Source organism: Homo sapiens, chromosome 2 (assembly GCF_000001405.40).
Source record: "Homo sapiens chromosome 2, GRCh38.p14 Primary Assembly".
NCBI classification, from domain to species: Eukaryota; Metazoa; Chordata; class Mammalia; order Primates; family Hominidae; genus Homo; species Homo sapiens.
This window is the reverse complement of record NC_000002.12, coordinates 14250713-14270720: the sequence shown is the minus strand read 5'-3', so window position 1 is coordinate 14270720 and position 20008 is coordinate 14250713. Positions and strand designations below refer to the sequence as shown.

Here is a 20008-nt window from a genome sequence, read left to right as displayed (position 1 = left end):
CTGTGTGATAGGAAGGGGCCCCATCTTGGACTGTATTATCTTTCCTTACCCTTTCTGAAATCACCACAGTGTTTCTGTATCACCTAAGTCAGATTTCTGTCATGGTTACAATATGCTATGAGTGCTCTCTCTTCTAGAATTAAATAATCAGATAACTAACAAAAATATAAAACACAGGCTTTGTATTGCTGAGTTTTATGACTTACTTGCTTATATGTTTCCTTCCTGAGTTGGTTTGAATCTTCCCTATTGCTAGTGATTTCTATAGCATTGTATGCTTTCCTTTGCACTCTGACAGAGCAGGAACATTGCCATCTTGGACAAGCACTGCCATTCCAAAGTCCTCCTTGATCAAAAACTGCCTAAATCCAAAGGGCATCAGCCTAATGGCTAAGGTCATCATGACCGTAAACCACAAATGACATCTCCAACCAGATACATTCCAACCTCCTTGACCCAAGACATGCCAGCCCTGAGATAACCGCCCCCACCGGCCAGAGAGATGTCAGCTCCAAGATAACCTCCCCTCTGACCGGAGACATTCCAATCCTGCCATAAACTTCTCCCCCAAATAGAAACATTCCAAGCTTGTGATAAGCTCTCTCACCAATAAATACTCTTAGTCTGTAAGAGAGAATGGTCCCAACCAAAATCGGCCAGAAGCCCCTCTCAGGTTTATTCTCCAAAATAAATCTATCTTTCACTGTTGAGCTGCTTTTCATGTTTCTTTTCTCTTTCTTTAACTGTTACACACTCTAGTAGAGATTAATTCCATTTTTATTTTTTTACGCCAGACAATTTTAATCTGATTGTTAATTTTTATGCTATTTATACCTGTCCTAGGCAAATATAGGAAATCTTATTATTGCCAGTTTGAAAAACCTTGAGATTTGGAAATACATCATCAGTTTGCTGAGACATATCTATCAATTGCAATTCTCCCAGGCTTGATTGGATTTTTCTTGCTCATGCTACAGTCTTGGGCTGTATCCCAAGAGCCTCTGATTTCATCTGATTCTTTTTCCCCAATCTTGAATTAATTTTATATTCTGATTTTTCCCCATAATGCTTCTCTGTAAATAGCTTGGCAGTCACTAGTTTTAATCAAGACTTTTTCTGTTAATCTCAGTTCTATGGCTCTGTATCAGTCAGGGTCCAATAAAGATAAAGAAACTACAAAGCAATTGAAAGAGATAATTTTAAGATAAAGGATCATTCCATCCTGGCTAACATGGGGAAACCCTGTCTCTACTAAAAATACAAGAATTAGCCAGGCATGGTGGCACGTGACAGTAGTCCCAGCTACTCAGGAGGCTGAGGCAGGAGAATCACTTGAACCTGGGAGGTGGAGGTTGCAGTGAGCTGAGATCATGCCACTGCACTCCAGCCTGGGTGACAGAGAGAGACTCCATCAAAAAAAAAAAAGATAAAGGATTACTATTGATGACTATAACAAGAATAACTTCACAGAATTAAAGAGAACTTTAAAATATTTTACACTTGATGGGAAGAACATGGAAAGAACAAACTTGGAAAGGAGTGAGCAGTTCCTCTCCAAAACTAGGATTCAGATGTAATTGGACAAAGCATAGTTTTAGCTCCTTGCATAGTTCAGAAATTCCCTGAATTACTCCGGGCCAAAGCTGATCAATAGTCAATATTAAGGCAGGAAACATCCCTCCTTGGGATCTAACTGCTGGGGTGCCTGCAAGGCTCACTGAAAACCTCCACATGGGGAGCCACTTAAACTTAATGAAAAAAGTTGTTACTGGACAGTTTGTTTCCTGTAATGCATCATGCTTCTTTATAGCCCTGGTTCTTAACGATACCCTCTGTAGGAGTCAAAGAGGGCTGGTCCTATTCATATTTCTTCTTGTTTCATTTTGAATGATTTTGTGAATTGTGAATAATTTGAAAAAAGAGGAAAAAAAAATATGCTCTGAAGAGTGTCTGTTTCATTCATTCAAAGTAGCTGGAAACAAGCAAAATTTGACCTTCTGAGAACAATAAAATACATATATTCAATCATTTCAGTTTGTCCCATGAGAATCTGTCACAGTCAGCTAACCAAGAACATTTCCTTTTTGTGGACCTGTATAAAGAATTGTTCTTGATGCTGTTGAGGACAAAAGAGAAGTAAAAATATCATTACATCAACAAATTCACCAAAACCTGTCAGTCTCCAGAGCCTGTACTCTTCCCTAAGGTGTGAGTTGGGAATGATTCTTTTGTCACCTTGCATCAGGGCAGATAGATGAAGTCTCTCTTTCCCTTTCTGCTCCACCTCAGGATATTTCCAAATCTTTATTTACCCTTTACTTCCTCTTATGGCAGAGGAGGTACTGCCACCACAGAATTTTATCAAATGTTGGAGCTTGATAAAGGTTGGATTCAAAATCATCACTGGCAAGCAGCTAATTGTTTTGTGTTGGAAAAATCAATCTACATCTCTGAATCGTGACATGGGAGAATTATATGTAATTCTCTGATGACTGTTACAGTTATATTTTATAAAAATATTCTTCTTTATTTCCTAAGCTGATGCCTACCAGAAACCTCCAGATAATCTTCAAATACAGCATAAAGAAGAGGGTTGGGATACATGGACCTGTTTAATGTATGTGATTGAAAGTTTCTATTTTTCCTTTAAGTGATACAAAATTAGCTGTAAGCTGACACTGAAAACTCAATATATTTCACATCTTGCAACTACCAAAAAATTCCAAAATAAAAGGTATAGATAAAAGTCAAATCAATAAAATAAAATGCAGTTATAAAAATATTCAAATCTCAATGATGGTAGAAAAAAGAATAGAGGAAGAAAATCACAAATGACTAATAATAAACTGAAATACTTAAGTTCAACCATATCAAATAGATTAATATTCTACAGAGAAAACACTTACATAAAGAAAACTCAAGGCCTAGAAGTTTTAATGGGTGGATTTTATAAAACATCTTAGGAAGAAAGAATCGGCATTCTTTGTCTGCAGAAAACTTTTCAGGAAATGGAGGGGTGGGATGCAGTGCCATCCATGTATTGTCCCAGCTACTTAGGAAGCTGAGGCAGGAGAATCACTTGAGCCCAGGAGTTTGAGGTTTAGCACTCTTTGATGGTGCCACTGCACTCCCACCCCTCCACCATCGAAAAGAAAAGAAAAGAAAAGAAAAGAAAAAAGGAAATGAAATGAAAAAGAAAGAAGAAAAGAAAAAGAAAGAGAAAGAAAGAAAAACACTCTTCAACTCATTTTAAGAGGCCAACCCCACTCTGATAATAAAACCTGACACAGACATTATAAAACAAAAGGAAGTAAAAGAAAACAAATAAAAGGCAAACACTTCTCATGAACACATATTTAAAAATCCAAGAAAATAGTAAATCAAAGTAATGAATATATATAAAGCAGATAAATTAAGATCAGAAAGGGTTTATTACAGAAATACGGCCTGATTTAAATTTGGAGAGATAAATGAGTTTAGTTCATAATATTAGCAGAATAGAAGGAAAACCAGTATGAGTATCTCAATAGATGCAGAAAAAACTATTTAAAAAAGCTCAACATTCATTCCTGATAAAACTTCTTAGCAAAATAGGAATAAAGGGGAAATTCCTCAGTCTAATAAAGAACATCTATGAAAAAGCTTATGGCTAACATCATACTTAATAAAGATTCTGTTTAGACTTAAAGATAATATTCCTTCCTATTACTTTCCCTTGACCTGATGCCCTTTCACTAAGCTCTCCCTTTCCCTAAAGTATTATCTCCCGAGGGTGGTTTATCCATGTTGTCTCTATAGTTTTATTAATTTCTCTCTTCTCAATTCCTTGTAATCTAATCTCTTCAACCCTCAAGTAATGCCAAAGGTCTCAAGTGTTTCAAAGCAATTTCCTTTTTCTTTTTCCTTTCTCAAACTATTCACAGCACTCACTCTGTCATTCTTGGGGCTACGTAAGTATTAGCTGTTCTTTCTCAGTTTCCTTCTAGGTCTGGGATGACCCATGCAGCTCCTGAAGTATTATTCTCATAAATTCTTGTCATAATTCCATGTTTTTGCCATGACATTTTTTCTAAACTACAGGGAAGGGAAGTTCAATAAGATCAAATTGTATCAGCTAGTTTAAATTGTGGTGGTTTGACATCAGAAATTGAGAGATGACAGAATTTCTGTTGCTTTCAATCTGTCCAATTCTTTTCGTCTTCCTAGCGAAGCTCCTGTCATCGAGATCGATTGCCTTTCAACTTGCATTTGGACACATACTCTGGTTTCTTTCAGTCCAGCATGCACAGTTCAGAGAGCTCTGCTCAAATCACATATCTTATTAGTTGTCTTTCCCCTCCTCCCATGTTTCTGCTTACACTTAAATGCCTTCCATGGCACTTCAAATAAAGAACAAACTCCTCAGTATGAAAAACTTACTGTGCCCACTAGGGCCCTAGATATGATTCCAGCTTCAGTTTTAACCATGCAGCCCTCTTATCTCTCTGCTCCAGCAGTCTAAGCCGTCCACCTGCTCCCTTTCTTGTCACTCGGGCTTTGCACTTAAATGTCTCTCTATCCAAGGGTCCTCTTTCCCCCTTTTAGGTAAGCTCTAATCATGCTTCTGATTCAGCACAAATCTTATTCTCTCTAGAAACACTTTCATGACCTTTCTGCCTAGGTCAAATCTTCTATCAATCAAGTATTCTCACAGCACCTTGACCTCTCCTGTATAGCACTTATCAGCATTGCAGTTTTACCTTAAGTTTATGGTGTAATTATCTAATTATTCTGTCTCTGCCAACAGACCATTTTACTTCAATAGTTCAGTAGCCATAGGTATGTTTACTTTTCATCATATGCTTGACAATATAGTATTTATATATAATATATTATATTAATATATAATATGTGTATCAGTACATATCAAGATATATAATATGTGTATCTGTATATATTAAGATTTACAAGTATACATAATATGTATATTATATGTATATTATATGATTATAAAACATGTATATATAGTATACAATATGTATAATATACACATTACTTTTATATGTATATGTAATATACAATATACTATGTATATTGTATATAATTAAGATAGATATAATATATAATATATGTAACATATATAATATGTATATAATAAAATATATGATATATATATGAGTTTGCAGATACACATACAGACACCTGACTAGGCAGGTAGTCCTTGTAAATAAAAAGGACTGTCTATTTACCTGTTCATTTGTCAATATTTCAGCCCTTCTTTAGGTCTTCTTCTTGATGACTCTGACTTCAAGGTTTGTGGGCTCAACTGGCTTTCAGCAGTTCCCACATTGCTTAGCTACCTTGGCTGTCTGTTACCCGACTGCTCCTCTGTTGATGAATGACAACATCAACCTGTGCTTGTTGCCTGCTGCAATCTGGATCCTCCGACCTAAGGCACTTGGAGCTCTCATCAATTCATTTCTTACCTTCCAAGTAACATTTTGTTTGCTTTTTACGTGTTTATTCTACATATTCAGAATTCTAAGGGGGACATAACCAGAGCTACCCTTTAAGCTTTTCTCTTCAACACCATTCCTGTGCCCTGCCTTCTTTGGAGCCTGGCCTCCCTGACTGTCCAATATCTTGGGGTGAGTTCCCTGTTGCCTCACTCGCAGCTGCAGCATGAATGAACTCATACCCTGCAAGGCACTGTCTCAGCTCAGATGAGGGAATCTAAATTCATATGCCAAAATCTCACCAGTTCAGCACATGCATCTCGCATCTCTAATTAAGGTGAAGCTCTCAGGACTGGCATGAGCATCCTAGGGTTTTGGGGGCTTAGTGAGTGGAAAGCAAGTCATAGAGAGTTGATGTTGTCAATGACCGATGACAAGACACTTAAGAGCAATTAAGGAACTCAAACTGAAAAGGCTTTCTTATGTAATATTTTATTTTGTTATATAAGTAGATATTCTAATTAGAATACATTTAAAATGTTAACATTTAATTACTTAATTATAATACCGATTGAATATGATAATGAAATGCTCTGGGAAGTTTCTTTTTTTTTTTTTGATACCTCCATCAGTAGGCTACCCATAATGTTTAAAAAAACCCACAAAAATTAAAATACCAAAGAAAACAGGCTGGACACATGGCATGTGATGGCCATGTCTGAATCACAGAAGCCCAAAAGACAGCGTATTCCAGCTGTGCTTCTATTTAGAGTTCTGTTATAGAAATAGCCACAGTTAAAGGATTCTGTAAGACTCTGCCAATTACATAGAATATTATCTTGAGCAAGTGCTTAACTTTTGTGCTTCAGTTTTCTCATCTGTAAAATGAGACTACAATAGTACCATACAGGGGTGCTCTGAGAAATAAAGGAGTTCCCATATGTAAAGTGTTTAGAACGATTCCTGCTATTTTCCTGGTCTTTTTCCTTCCTGTCTGGCATTCCCCACCAGGGCATCAGACTCATCAAATATGTTAATTTTGGATCACCTCTGACCCTGGCAGGAGGCCTTCATATATGCAACGAATTGTCCTTGAAGAAAATGTGCACAAATGATCAGTTAGAGGATTTGCAATGGATCTTCCCTGCTGTGGACATGAGGCTGTATTCTATCTTTAGTCGGAGCATACACTGTGCATATCACAGGCTTTCATTAGTGCTTTCCAAATCCCAGATGCCCAAGAAATATTCAGGCAATGGGTTCCTTTTCTTTCTCGGGTTATCAAAAAATAAATATGCTATAGTGAGAGAGCACTGGATAGGGAGCAGGTAGATATGGCTCTGCCATTTTGTCTTCAATCTTTACTCTTTCAGAGCTTCATTCCTTCTTCTGCAAAACTAGGAATCCAATCATAGGTTTGCAGAAAGGCTTTGAATACAAAATATGATCATTATATAAATGCACTTTGAAAGTAGTGAAGTTTTGTATAACTTTGAAAGCTATTGATGATTGTTAACACTGTTAACTGTTATTACAGTAAGTAGCAGAGGGTGCTCAGTATAGAATGGGTAAAATTTACTGTGCTACTTACTGTAATAATAACAACTTCTCATCACACTCTGCCCCCGATCTTGAAGAAGATCCAACTTGCAGGATCTTCTTCAAGATCGGGGGCAGAGTGTAAAGGGAAGTTGTTAGTTTTCTATTCAAATTATCCTACACCAGCCCTAGAGCATGGCCACAGAGAAAGCACATGGACCGATGTGTCATGATCCTTCCAGGAAAGACAGACACTGAAATAAGCATTCACTGTTCAGTCTCTGGAAGTGATTCTGACCAACTATTCCCAGATAAAAAATAAACTGGATGTTGGGGCCTGAAGGACCCACAGAATTTGAGGATGCAAAACATTTTTCAGATCTTAAGGACTAAACAAACCTATTACATGGGTTTCAGATGAGATAAATTTTGAGGCCCTTTCAACTCATGTATTCTTGGATGTCACAAGTTTTAACCTGTGAAATAATAATAAAAACCACCCTGACCATAACCACAAACACCACCACTGTAACAACTACCTTCATATAGTACTGAATTATGTACCAGACACTATTTTAAGTGCTTTACATATATTATCTCCTTAACTGATATAGCAATACTATGAGGCAGTTACTATTAGTATCTCATTTTATAAATAAGACAATTAATCCACAGAAAAGCTAAAAACCTTGCTGGAGGACCAGAGTCATCAGCAGCAGAGCCAGGGTTTGAAGGTGGATGGTCTGCCTCAGAGTCACCATCTTAATCATCACTTTCCTGTTTGAAGTCAGAAAACAGAATCTTTCTCAAATGGTTTGGAGCTGTGTCCCCACTGAAATCTCATGGAGAATTGGAATCTCCGGTGTTGGAGGTGGGGCTTGGCGGGAGGTGACTGGATCATGGGGGTGGATCCTTCATGAATGGTTAGCACCATCCCCTCGGTGCTATCTCATGATGGAGTTCTCATGAGATCTCGTTGTTGAAAAGTATGTAAACACTTTTAAACCTCGGTCCTGCTCCTGCCACATAAGCTGCCTTCTCCCTGTTTGCCTTCTGCCGTGAGTAAAACTCCCTGAGACCTCCCCCAAAGCAGATGCTGTCATGCTTCCTGTACAGCCGGTGGAACGTGAGCCAATTAAACCTCTTTTTTTGTTTTTTATAGATTACTCTTTCTCAGGTGTTTCTTTATAGCAATGGTGAGAATGGACTAATACACTTTCCATCAAAACTAACTCCATCCTCTCCCTTAACTACTTCCCCCTCAAAGCAGACATAGATTAAATCATCTTCAGAAAAAGGGCATTTCTCTGAGAACATGTTGCTTTTTATACTTGGTGCTATCACAATATCCCATAATGTGTATTCTTCTAAATAAGCAAGTTTGTTCATTCCTTCAACAGTTACTGAGCATTGACTCTCTCGGTTACAGAGCTGGGAAGAGAGGAGTAAGACATGCAGATGTTTCTCACATACTCACAGTGTATGGTGATAGAAAGAAAAATGTATAATCATAGTAGGAAATGAGAAGTGCTACAGAAAAGGTAGGTTTACAGTGTTACAAAGACACAAAGTCTCTCTGTACCCTCTTCTGTACCTACAAAGTTCACAATACTTCATTAGTAAGATCAATTATAAACTAACTCAAAAAGACCTAGACAACTCAAAAGCATTTTTCCCATTGAGAAGTTTCTTTACTGTAAATAGCTGCACCTCTGAGGTGACAAACTAGCTTTGGAATGTGGCTGTTTGATGTCCAAATAGTGACATTTTGTAGAAAAATTTCAAAAAATATTTTCTAAAAGAGGCATTCCCCCAATGAGACCAGCCAAAGATAATAAAAAGAAAAGATATTGCATGCTGCATTTGTAACTTAACATGAGGTTGAGATACTCTAGACCCCATGACTGCTATGAGGAAATGAGCTCATAAACCTCTGAGGGGTCTTATTGGAGTGAAATAAGTATCTTTCTATTTTACTTTATTTTCATTTTTTAGTACTTCTCCACCAACCTTTAAAATTAATGCTTTAATGAATTGATGTATTTATTTATACATTCATTCAGAACATAGTTATAAATGTCATTCTGTAATATTCTGTAATGTATATGACCATATAGTTAGTACAGGTGGAAAGGGAGACTGGGAAGAATCTTGATAGCTTCCCAGGGAATTTAACAGACTCATATCTGATTCTGAACGTTTTTTTAGACAAGGAAAATGCAAAAAGGGTGAAAAACGTCACAATTATCGACAAAATGTAAAGGTCTGAGTAGGATTCTCGGGGTGTAAATGGGAGGAAAAAGACTCTGGGGTTTCGGCAAGATATGGGAGGTGGCCTCTCAGAGACCTATACTTTCTTCATAGGTCTCTCTGGAAATAAGAATCCTATCTTTATCCCAGAAGTGTATGAATATTCTAGCTTAGTCTACTAAAGCACTCAGGGACTTATCCAACTGTCTGGCCCTCAATCACAGAAAGCTCTGGCCAGACATTTGATCTTCTGGACATTATTTTGGTTATAATGCAGTTGGACATACAGCACCTTCAGTTTCAAGAAAATATGGAGGAAGGACATCTTTTTACGACAGTGAAATTACACATGAGACCTGGGTAGGCCGCAAGTTGGCTCTTGGAGTTCATTACCTACTTCAAATATCCACGTTTCAGTTGAGGACCCAAGAGCCCATTCTTCAGTTCCTTGCTCTTGGCCATGAAGCTTTCAAATTCCAGGCTTAAAACTCATTCTGGGATTTGCACAGATTAAGTACTAAATATAATAGTATGTGTATAAAAATAAGAGTATAAGTTTGCTTAAGATTCCCAATTTCCTTTAGAAGAATAAATAAATGGCAGTATTATTTCAATATCACCTCTCAACAGTAATGCTTTTTTTAATTGACCATTTCTAAAGTTAATATATTATGTGACATGGTAATTAGTGACTTTGCTTGGTGCTTAATACATAACGTTTTATTTTAAAAAATTGCAAGTGATTCTTTTATTCCTTTTATGGAATTAAACAATGTAAAGTTTTTTATTCCTTCAAATACTTTCTTCTTTCTAACTGAGGAATTTCTGCTACTTGACTCCCCCTCATCCCTTTCCTCAAGCTGCTATTTTCACAATTGGAGTGGGGATAGAGATTAGTGTTCTGAAATCCTGCACCCACAACATGTTCATACACAATTTAGCAAGCAGAAGGAAAAATCAGATGATTTAAGGTTTACAATCTGGGAGCCTGAACACTCTAAGCTGAGGCCTCTAAATTGTACAGGTCCTCCTTTATTACTTATTATACCTTGGCAGGAATGAGGAACAGAATGATATATTTTAAGGCACAGGGCCTTCTCCAGTGAAAGTTCTGGAGATCCAAAAAAGAAGTGCTTGTCTTATCTAGCATTAGAGTGAAATGAAAATCTACCTTGATATTCCATGTCATCAGCAGTGTAGCCCAGTGACTACTGAAAACCATGTGTACAGGGAAGTGTCACGGAATTTGACCTCTTCATTCCATCTTCACTCTCATTTTCTTCATTCAAGGCTTTTCATTTATTTTCTAGGTTGTAAAACGTCCCAATTTCTCCTACTGTCTTCATTATCCCTCTCCCCCACTTACCTTCCATATTGCTATCAAATACTTTGAATGTTAATTTTGTGTTCTGAACTTTACTAAAGTTATTTATCAGGTCTGGGAGCCTTTTGGCAGTCTTTAGGGTTGTCTAGGTATAGAATCATATCATCAGTGAACAATTTGATTTTCCCTTTTCCTGTCTGGATGCCTTCTAATTCCTTTTCTTGCCTACTTGCTCTGGCTATCACATCTGGTACCGTGTTGAGTGGTGAGAGTGGGCACTTTGTCTTGTTCTAGTTCTTAGGGGGAATGCTTCCAGCTTTTGCCCATTCAGTATGATGTTGGCTGTGGGTTTGTCATAGATGTCTCTTTTTCTTGAGGTATGTTCCTTTGGTTCTTAGTTTGTTAAGAGTTTTTAACATGAAGAGATGCTGAATTTTATCTGAAGATTTTTCTGCCTCTATTGAAATTATCATATGGTTTTTGTTCGTAATTCTGTTTACATGGTGAATCACATTTATTGATTTGTGTATGTTGAAACAAATTTGCCTCCCAGGAATAAAGTCTACTTGATCATGGTGAATTGACTTTATGATATGCTGCTGGATTCAGTTTGCTAGTATCCTGTTGAGGACTTTTGTGTCTATGTTCATCAGGAATATTGGCCTGTGGTTTTCTTTTTTTGTTGTATCTTTGCCAGATTTTGGTATCGGGATAATATTGGTTTCATAAAAGGAGTAGGGAGGAATCCCTCCTCCTTGATTTTTTAGGAATAATTTCAGTAGGATTGGTACCATCTCTTCTTTGTATATCTGGTAGAATTTGGCTGTGAATCCATTTGGTCCAGGGATTTTTTTTTTAATTGGTAGGTTTATTTTTATTACTGATTCAATTTTGGAACTCATTATTCATCTGTTCAGGGTTTCAATTTCTTCCTGAGTCAATCTTGGGACATTGTTTGTTTCCAGGAGTTTATCCATTTCTTCTAGATTTTCTAGTTTGTGTGCATGGAGGTGCTCATAATAGTCTCTGAGGATGTTTTGTAATTTTGTGGGATCAATTGCAATGTTTGTCATTTCTAATTGTGTTTACTCATATTGCTATCAAGTATTTTGAAATTACTGTCTTCATGATTCTCTCCCCTTCTTACAGCCCTTGGATGGTTGTTTATTATCTTCACAATAATGTTCCAACACCTTAACATGATATGCTACAATCTTTATGTTTTATGTCCTAATGAGTTTATCTTACTATGTCCCTTTTAGCATTTTGAATTCTAGCCATATGGAGGTAGATTGCAAACATTCCAGGATCTTCTGGTCTTTGTGTTTTACATATGTCATATCCTAGTTACTAAAAAATCTTTAGTCCCCTTTTCCTTTACCTAAAACTTACGGACCTTATGAAAATTTCATTTTGCATGTCTTTTTAGTTTGCTTAGCTTTCCATTTGGTTTTCATACCTGTCTGCAGAAGCCTACATCCTAGCATCTATCACACCATGTGATACTACTTTGTCAATATTTATATCTTCTCTACTAACATATAAACTCTTTGAGAGTAGGAACTGTGCTTTATTTACATTGTTCTCTAGTATTTCACACAGTGACTAGCACACTGAAAGCATTCAATAAAGGTTTGTTGAATGATTGAATGAATTACTGAATGAACCAATTAATAAAACAGCTGTTTTCCAATGTAAAAAAAAAACTGGGTTAGATAATAGCACTTTAATTCAATAATTCCCATCTTAGAAGCCTTGAATGCCAAGATGATGAGTTTAGGTTAATTTAGTATGCAGCAGGAAAGCATGACATGTATTGAGGAGAGGAATGGTTTAAAGGTTCTGCCTTTCTAGAGGATTAATCTGTCAGGTTTGGCAAGTTAGAACAAAGGGGCAGACAACCAATTATGAGTGTATGAGAAACAGAACTGACCTTCTGTGGAAAACCTTTATAGTATCACTTAAGTTCAAACACATGACAGAGGCTACTTTTTTCATTCCATTTAATTAATTAATTTATGTATTTATTGATTGAGACATGGGTCTCACTGTGACCCAGACTAGAGTGAAGCTTTCACTCATTTTAAGCTCTCTGTTATGAGCTCAAAGGAGGACTTCTCCAGCTTCATCTCTGTACTTCCTTTGAATAGGCACAGGATGATTGAGTAATTTGTTCAAGGGCATACAGCAACAATTAGTAACAGAGGCAAAACATGAATCAGAATTTGCTGTCTCTATTTCAGGCAAGACTGGTCAATCCTCTGTTTTTTAAAAAAGTTGTAATTTTTATCACTTACTTAAACTTCTGAATTCTCATGTTCCCAAAATTTTCATATTTCTTACCTGCAAGTTCTAACATTAGTCATGAGACTCGGTAGATCTACATGTGGTCAAGAAGTTACAGAACTCCATGTCATTTCTTTCTTCTCCAAGCTCTTCAGAGCAGTAAGAAGCAGCTCACTTAATATATACTTTATAACATTCTGTTTTAACAACATGTGCTCTTTCTATACCTTGCCTTCAATAGATTCTCCTTTCTAAGTAAATACAGGGGAAATTATAAGTAACTATATTCCGTGATATTATAAGTAGTTATATGCCCCATTCTCTGCGGGTGTTGTGGTCATTTCTGCCTTCATTTCAAACTGAATTTGAGAATCTAGTCCCACAGTCATTGTGGAGGGGCTCTATTTTCCTGGAATCATTTGCAGTTACAAAAATTATCAGTTGAAGTATTTCAGGAATAAAAGCATAATAGGTAATTTTATTGGATAGAGATTTAATATATGGAACTAGAAATTCATACAGTCATTTGGAGGGCTGGGGATGTAAAGGTTAGGAATCTGCCTTTAAGAAATGTAGAAGTACAGGGATCAGAGGTAGTTGGTGATACCATCTGCTCCCAGGACTAAAGTGGATGTTCTTCAGGAGGTCCCTGGAAGCCAAGAGAAGCCACCGTCTATGTTTTTAGTTTCCTACAAGCAATAGGTATGATTTCTGTTGCTTGCCAACAGAGAGGACTCCAGTAAGTCAAGGAATCCAACGTGACTATTACAAGCGGCCTGCAGCTTCTGTGGGGGAAGAGCGTTTCTTTCTCACTTGTTTCTAAATAGCATTCTAGCGACTCATTAGCTGAATCTAAAGTACAAGGGATTTTGAGAATTAACATTCCTGGCTTCTCTCCTGTGATACCAAGAAGAACCCAGAAAGAGGTGATGGTGGGGCTTCACTGAGCACAATCTGGCACACTTGCATTCTTTACAGCTTTTCCAATTTCTTACAAGATAATTTTGCTTATTAATGAGGGGAAAACAATAGTAATAATGCACTCTGTATTTAGTGCACACTATGTTTAAACAATGCAAACATGAAATGGAAATTCTGTCCTACTGGAAGAATATCTTCAATACATCATGTGTTCTACCTCCTCTCTTCCAAAGCCATGAGCTACTTAAACATTTTCACTGGGGTCTCATGCAGATCTTTAACACGGATAGTGACTTTGAAAATCATATTAGAATATATTTGGAAACATAGTTCATAAAATGATGGATTGTTCATGTTATATTAATGTAAATAGAATGCTTGGTACTTATCTGCCTTTATGACTTTATTTTCTAGGTAAAAATAAGCACTTGATACATATTTATTAAATTGAGGTGAGCTTATAAGAATTTAGGCTCTATAAATGTTTCTTAAATATTTAACTGGAAATGCATAGACAATCGAGATTTTTGACTCTTTTCTATTTATATCAAATAGCTTTTGCCGCTAAATTAGTGGCTTTAAAAGTAAGCATTTATTGGCCAGGCATGGTGGCTCACACCTGTAATCCCAGCACTTTGGGAGGTCGAGGCAGGTGGATCACGAGGTCAGAAGACTGAGACCATCCCGACCAACATGGTGAAACCTCGTTTCTTCTAAAAATACAAAAATTAGTTGGGCGTAGTGGCGCACGCCTGTAATCCCAGCTACTCAGGAGGCTGAGGCAGGAGAATTGCTTGAACCTGGGAGGCAGAGGTTGCAGTGAGCCGAGATCGTGCCATTGCACTCCAGCGTGGGTGACAGAGCGAGATTCCATCTCAAAAATAAAATTAAAAAATAAAATTAAGCATTTATTTAGCTTGTGATTCAGCCCTTGGCCAGATTGTCCCTTGGGTCTAGGCTATCTTGACAGATATCTACTAATGTTCCTCATATATCTGTGGTCAACTGGCAGGTCAGGTTGTGGCTGTATGATATATGATGGCCTCATGTACTTATCAGGCAGCCATTAAGCTGTCGATCAGGATGACAGGGATGACTGGTTGACATTTCTCTCACTGTCGGACAGAGTAGCCTGATCTTTTTCTCCTGTTCCTAAAGTCTCAAGATCATTAAGAGAGGGCATATAATAATGCATATATTCTTTTCAAGTCTCTGCTTTTATTATATTTCCTTCTGGTGACAGCTTCAGCCCGTCTGGAGCAGCCGCTGCAAAGATGCCGGCTGCTGTGGGGGAGGCGCCACCACGGAGCTGGTTGGGGGCCAAGAACAAGTAATCCCAGCAGAAGCCTTGCCCCCTATTGAGTTGGTAGGGCTGGAGGCAGCCTGGGCACAGCTGCACTCACCCAGCTACAGCTCTGGACCCGGGCATCCCTGTGCTCTCGGGGACCCAGGAAGTCCCCTGCCCCCATAGGTTCAGAAGTGCTGGCTCCTGCTCCCTGGTCTCTCTCTGCTCACAGCACCAGCTCCATTAGGAAGCAAAGCTGTGGCTGAGCGCGAGTGCTGCTGTCACCCAGCTGGGTGTGCGTGTGCTTGAGGCGGCACTGACACACCAGCCCCCTGCTGCCTTGGCCCCGGCACTGACAAGCATTGGAGAGAGGCAGGGCAGGCCTGCAGGCGCCCATCAGCAGGGGCGGGGCGCTGTGGACAGCATACTGATGGCCGCTGCGGGAAGCAGACAGGCTCCTTGATGGAAAGGGGTGGGACCCTGGTGAAACTCCTCCTTTAAGCCAGCAACCTCCTGAAGCCTGGGGGCCAGGCCGCCAGTTCCAGTGAAGTCCACGCCCAGAGTGAGAACTTCATTGATGACATTTCGGCCAATTGAATGGTGGTTTTTCCAGGCCCACTGTTGGCCACCCATGGACTAATCAGTATGCACTTCCACTCTGAGCACATAAGACCCCAGCCTCAGCCAGAGTCACTCACTCAACGAGACGACTTGCCTGCAGATAGGAGCTACCCACTCATTTTATTTTATTGAAATAAAAATACAATATCTGAAATTTCAAAAATTAAAAATTAAAAAGTTGTATTAACAGCAGATTAAATAGTTCAAAAGAAAAGTTCAGCAAAGTTGAAGATGGGGCAATAATAATTATTGACAATGAAATGCTAGGAAAAAAAAGACCACACAACAACAAAAGTAAACATAATTTGTGGAAGTAGGATATAAGAATATGTGAAGCCATTCGGAATGTGTAATTGAGTTTCAGAAAGGAAGAAGGAGCAGAGAAATACTTAAAGAAACAATGGCTGAAATATTTGGTGAAAACTGTGAAACTATAGATCCAAGAAGTTTGATGAAGTCTAAGATGAAACATAAAGAAAACCACACCAAAGCGCATTTACATTCAAATTGGTGAAAACCAATAATAAAGACAAAAATCTTAAAAACGGCTTTGTTTCTGTACAGAGAAATAAAAATAAGAATGACTGAAAACTATTAAATAAGAAGACATGGAATGATATTTTTAAAGTGCTGAAATAATAAAATTAAACTATAATTCTATAGCTTGTCAACATCTCTTGTAAAAATGAGGGTGAATCAGACAAACAAAAGGCAAGAGGCCATTGACAACAAATCTAAGCCACAAAAAAATACATCAAATGAAGTTCTTTAAATAAAAGGGAATGTGTTATCAGTTGGAAACCTGGGTCTATACAAAAGAATTACAGTGTGGGATACAATAAATGCGCTGGTAAGTATATAATACGTTTCTCATATTAAAATTATTTTAAAAGATCACTCAGTTTTAGAAGCAATTATAATAACAATGTATTATGCAGCTTATAACGTATTGAAAAGTCAATAGTCTAAAAATCAGAGGAGGATTTGAAAGTCCATTATAGGGAAAGTAGTATAATGTCATTCGAAGGCAAATGTTAAAAGTTAAAGGTGGATTTCTTTAAAATCAGAGCAACCAGAAGAAAAGAAAGCTACAAGTAATAAGTTAATGGTAGAGATCAAATACAATCTTAAAGATATTAAATTAATCCTTTGGTCAAGAAAATAAAAGAAACAAAGAACAGATGGGATGAAGAGAAAGCAAATAATCTGATGTTAGTTATAAATCAAATCATATCAATAATTGCACTAAATAAAATCATCTAAGCATTCTAGTTAGAAGACATATATTAACAAACTAAATAAAAAAGCAAGACCCAACCAGCTGACTACATAAAAGGTGGTTTGAATATAAAATTACACATAATCTAAAGGTAAACAAATAGAACAAGATGGTGCAAACACTAACCAATAGTATAGCTGAAATGCCTATACTAGTATAACACAAAGTAGACTTTAGAAAAAGAATTATTACTAGCCACAGAGTGGGAAATTTCTTACTGACAAAAGGAGATATAGACTAGATGGATACACAATTCTAGGTTCTGAATATGCTATAAAAGAGTTTTTAATTGCATGTAGCTAAAATTAGCATACCTAAAAGGAGAAATAGAAAAATACCATTCTCCATAAATTTAAAAAGATTAAAATAACATAGAATATGTTCTCTAATTATGTAAGAATTGAATCAGAAAGCAACAACAATAAGGCACATGGAAAAGCCAAAGATCTTTGGAAATTATACAGTTCACTACTAAATAAACCATGGACCAAAGGAAAAAATCATGAGGGAAATTAGAAAATATTTTGACTGAATGATAATGAAAACATAACATAGCATAACATAATTTAACTGTTAAATTAGTGCTTAGTGGGAAATTGTAACTTCAAAAAGTTACATTAGAAAAAAATAAAATTCTAAATTAAATGATTTAAACTTCCATTTTAACAAATTAGAAACAGAAAAGCAAATTTAAAAAAGTTTAAAAAATAAAATTATAAATACACACACACACACACACACACACACACACACACACACACACACACACAGATTTGACCTTTGAACAATTCAGGTATTAGAGGAGCCAGGCTCCCTCCCTCAAGTGAAAATCTGTGTGTAACTTTTGACTCCCCAGAAATTTAACTACTAATAATCTACTGTTTACCAGAAACCTTACCAATAACATCAACAGCTGATTACACATTATTTGTACATTATATGCATTATATATTGTATTCTTATAATAAAGTAAACCAGAGAAAAGAAAGTATTATAAAGAAAATCATAAGACAACATATTAATTAAATTGAAGCATGGACCATCATGAAGTTCTTCATTCTCATCTACACATTGAGTAGGCTAAGGAGGAGGAGTAAGAGGAAGGGTTGGTCTTGCTGTCTCAGGAGTGGCAGAGGCTGAACAATATTGGTATGTAAGTGAACTCATGCAGTTCAAACCCATGTTGTTCAAGATCAACTCTGTGTGCATTGTGTGTGTGTGTGTGTGTGTGTGTGTATGTTTGTGTGTGTGTGTGTGTTAACAGGAATCAATGAACTAGAAAACGTAAGCAATAGAAACTAAAAACGGCACACAAAAGCAAGAATAACAATAAAACTTCAATGAATTGAAACAAAATGAAAAGGCAGAAGATAAAATGTAGCAACATTAGGAATGAAAAAACCTCACTGAGATTTTACACACTGATATCACAATAAGAGGATTTTATGAAAATATTTATCTCAATACATCTGACAACTTAGAGTAGGCAAATTCAGTGAAGAGCATGGTTTAACAAAACTGAATTAAGAAAAATTGACCAGGTGGAGTAGCTCACTCCTGTACTCCAGCACTTTGGGAGGCTGAGGCAGATGGGTTGCTTGAGCCCAGGAATTCGAGACTAGGCTGGGCAACATGGCAAAACCCCGTCTCTACAAAATATACAAAAATTACCCTGGCACGGTGGTGTGCGCCTGCAGTCCCCACTACTCCGGAGGCTGAGGTGGGAAGATCGCTTGAGCCCAGGAATTTGAGGTTACAGTGAGCCAAGATTACACCAATGCACTCCAGCCTGGGCCACAGAGTGAGACCCTGTCTCAAAATAAAAGAAAGAAAAATTAAAATCTTAACAACTCTGCATATATTTTTAAAATTGAAATAGTAATTAACCATGTCCCCTGACATAGACAGAAGAACAAAACCAACCAATGAATATTAAGCCTAGATTGTTTCACAGATGAATTCAATCAAATATTTTTTGAATACTGAATCTACTAAACCTTCAGAAAATAGAGCAAGAGGAATAATTCCCAACTTTTCACAAAGCTAAAACCCGATATTAAAACCCAACAAAGACATCACAAGAAAACTACAGAAACACATACTGTGAACATAGAGGCAACGATCCCTAAAATATAAGCAGACTGAATCCAGCATTATGTAAAAAGATTCACCATGACCGAATGGTATATACTTCAGGAATGCAAGGCCGAGTCAACATTGAAAAAACAATCAATGAAATATCACTTATAACAGACTAATAAAAGACTGTAGGATCCCAAAAGATGCAAAAAAAAAAATTGACAAAATTCGACGCCCATTCATAAAAAAGCAAACAAACCTCTGAGAAAACAGGAAAGAAAGGATGAAAGGGAGCTGCCTTAACCTGGTAAAAGGCAACTACAAAAACAAAACAAAAACACACAAATAGGCTGGGCGTGGTGGCTCACGCATTTAATCCCAGCACTTTGGGATGCCGAGGCGGGAGGATCACCTGAGGTCAGGAGTTCAAGACTAGCCTGGCCAACATGGCGAAATCCCGTCTCTACTAAAAATACAAAAATTAGCTGGGCATGATGGCGGGCACCTGTAGTCCCAGCTGCTCAGGAGGCTGAGGCAGGAGAATCGCTTGAACCTAGGAAGAGGAGGTTGCTGTGAGCCAAGATCACACCACCGCACTCCAGCCTGGGAGACAGAGCAAGACTCTGTCTCAAAAAACAAAAAATAAAAGCAAAAACACAAATAAACAAAAAACTACAGTTAATATTGTATTTATTGTGAAAGTCCAAATACTTTCTAAGGTCAGAAAAAAGGAAAGGATGCTCATTTTTACCTTTTCTATCAAATGCCATATTTGAGATCCTAATCAGCATAATAAAATAAGAGAAATGAATCAACATCAAACAAGTTGTAAAGAAAGAAACAAAACTGACATTATTTGCAGACAAAGCCCTGTCTCTACTAAAAATACAAAAATTAGCCAGGTGTGGTGGCGTATCTGTACTCCCAGCTACTCAGGAGGCTGAGGCAGGAGAATTGCTTGAACTTGGGAGGTGGAGGTTGCAGTGAGT

At 37.3% G+C, this 20008-nt stretch overlaps 1 long non-coding RNA gene across 1 annotated transcript in view, besides 2 other annotated features; it reads left to right on the top strand.

Annotated features, from left to right (window-relative positions):
• Window positions 1-20008, top strand: part of LINC00276 (long intergenic non-protein coding RNA 276) — a 172085-nt gene that overhangs the window by 130238 nt on the left and 21839 nt on the right. The window lies entirely within an intron of this gene.
• Window positions 14688-15301: an enhancer, noted in NCBI's record as "NANOG-H3K27ac-H3K4me1 hESC enhancer chr2:14395544-14396157 (GRCh37/hg19 assembly coordinates)". NCBI's record gives its function as "activates a minimal SCP1, AML or CMV promoter by ChIP-STARR-seq in naive H9 embryonic stem cells {active_cell/tissue: H9 hESC(naive)}" and the evidence as "EXISTENCE:reporter gene assay evidence [ECO:0000049][PMID:30033119]".
• Window positions 15302-15916: an enhancer, noted in NCBI's record as "NANOG-H3K27ac-H3K4me1 hESC enhancer chr2:14394929-14395543 (GRCh37/hg19 assembly coordinates)". NCBI's record gives its function as "activates a minimal SCP1, AML or CMV promoter by ChIP-STARR-seq in naive H9 embryonic stem cells {active_cell/tissue: H9 hESC(naive)}" and the evidence as "EXISTENCE:reporter gene assay evidence [ECO:0000049][PMID:30033119]".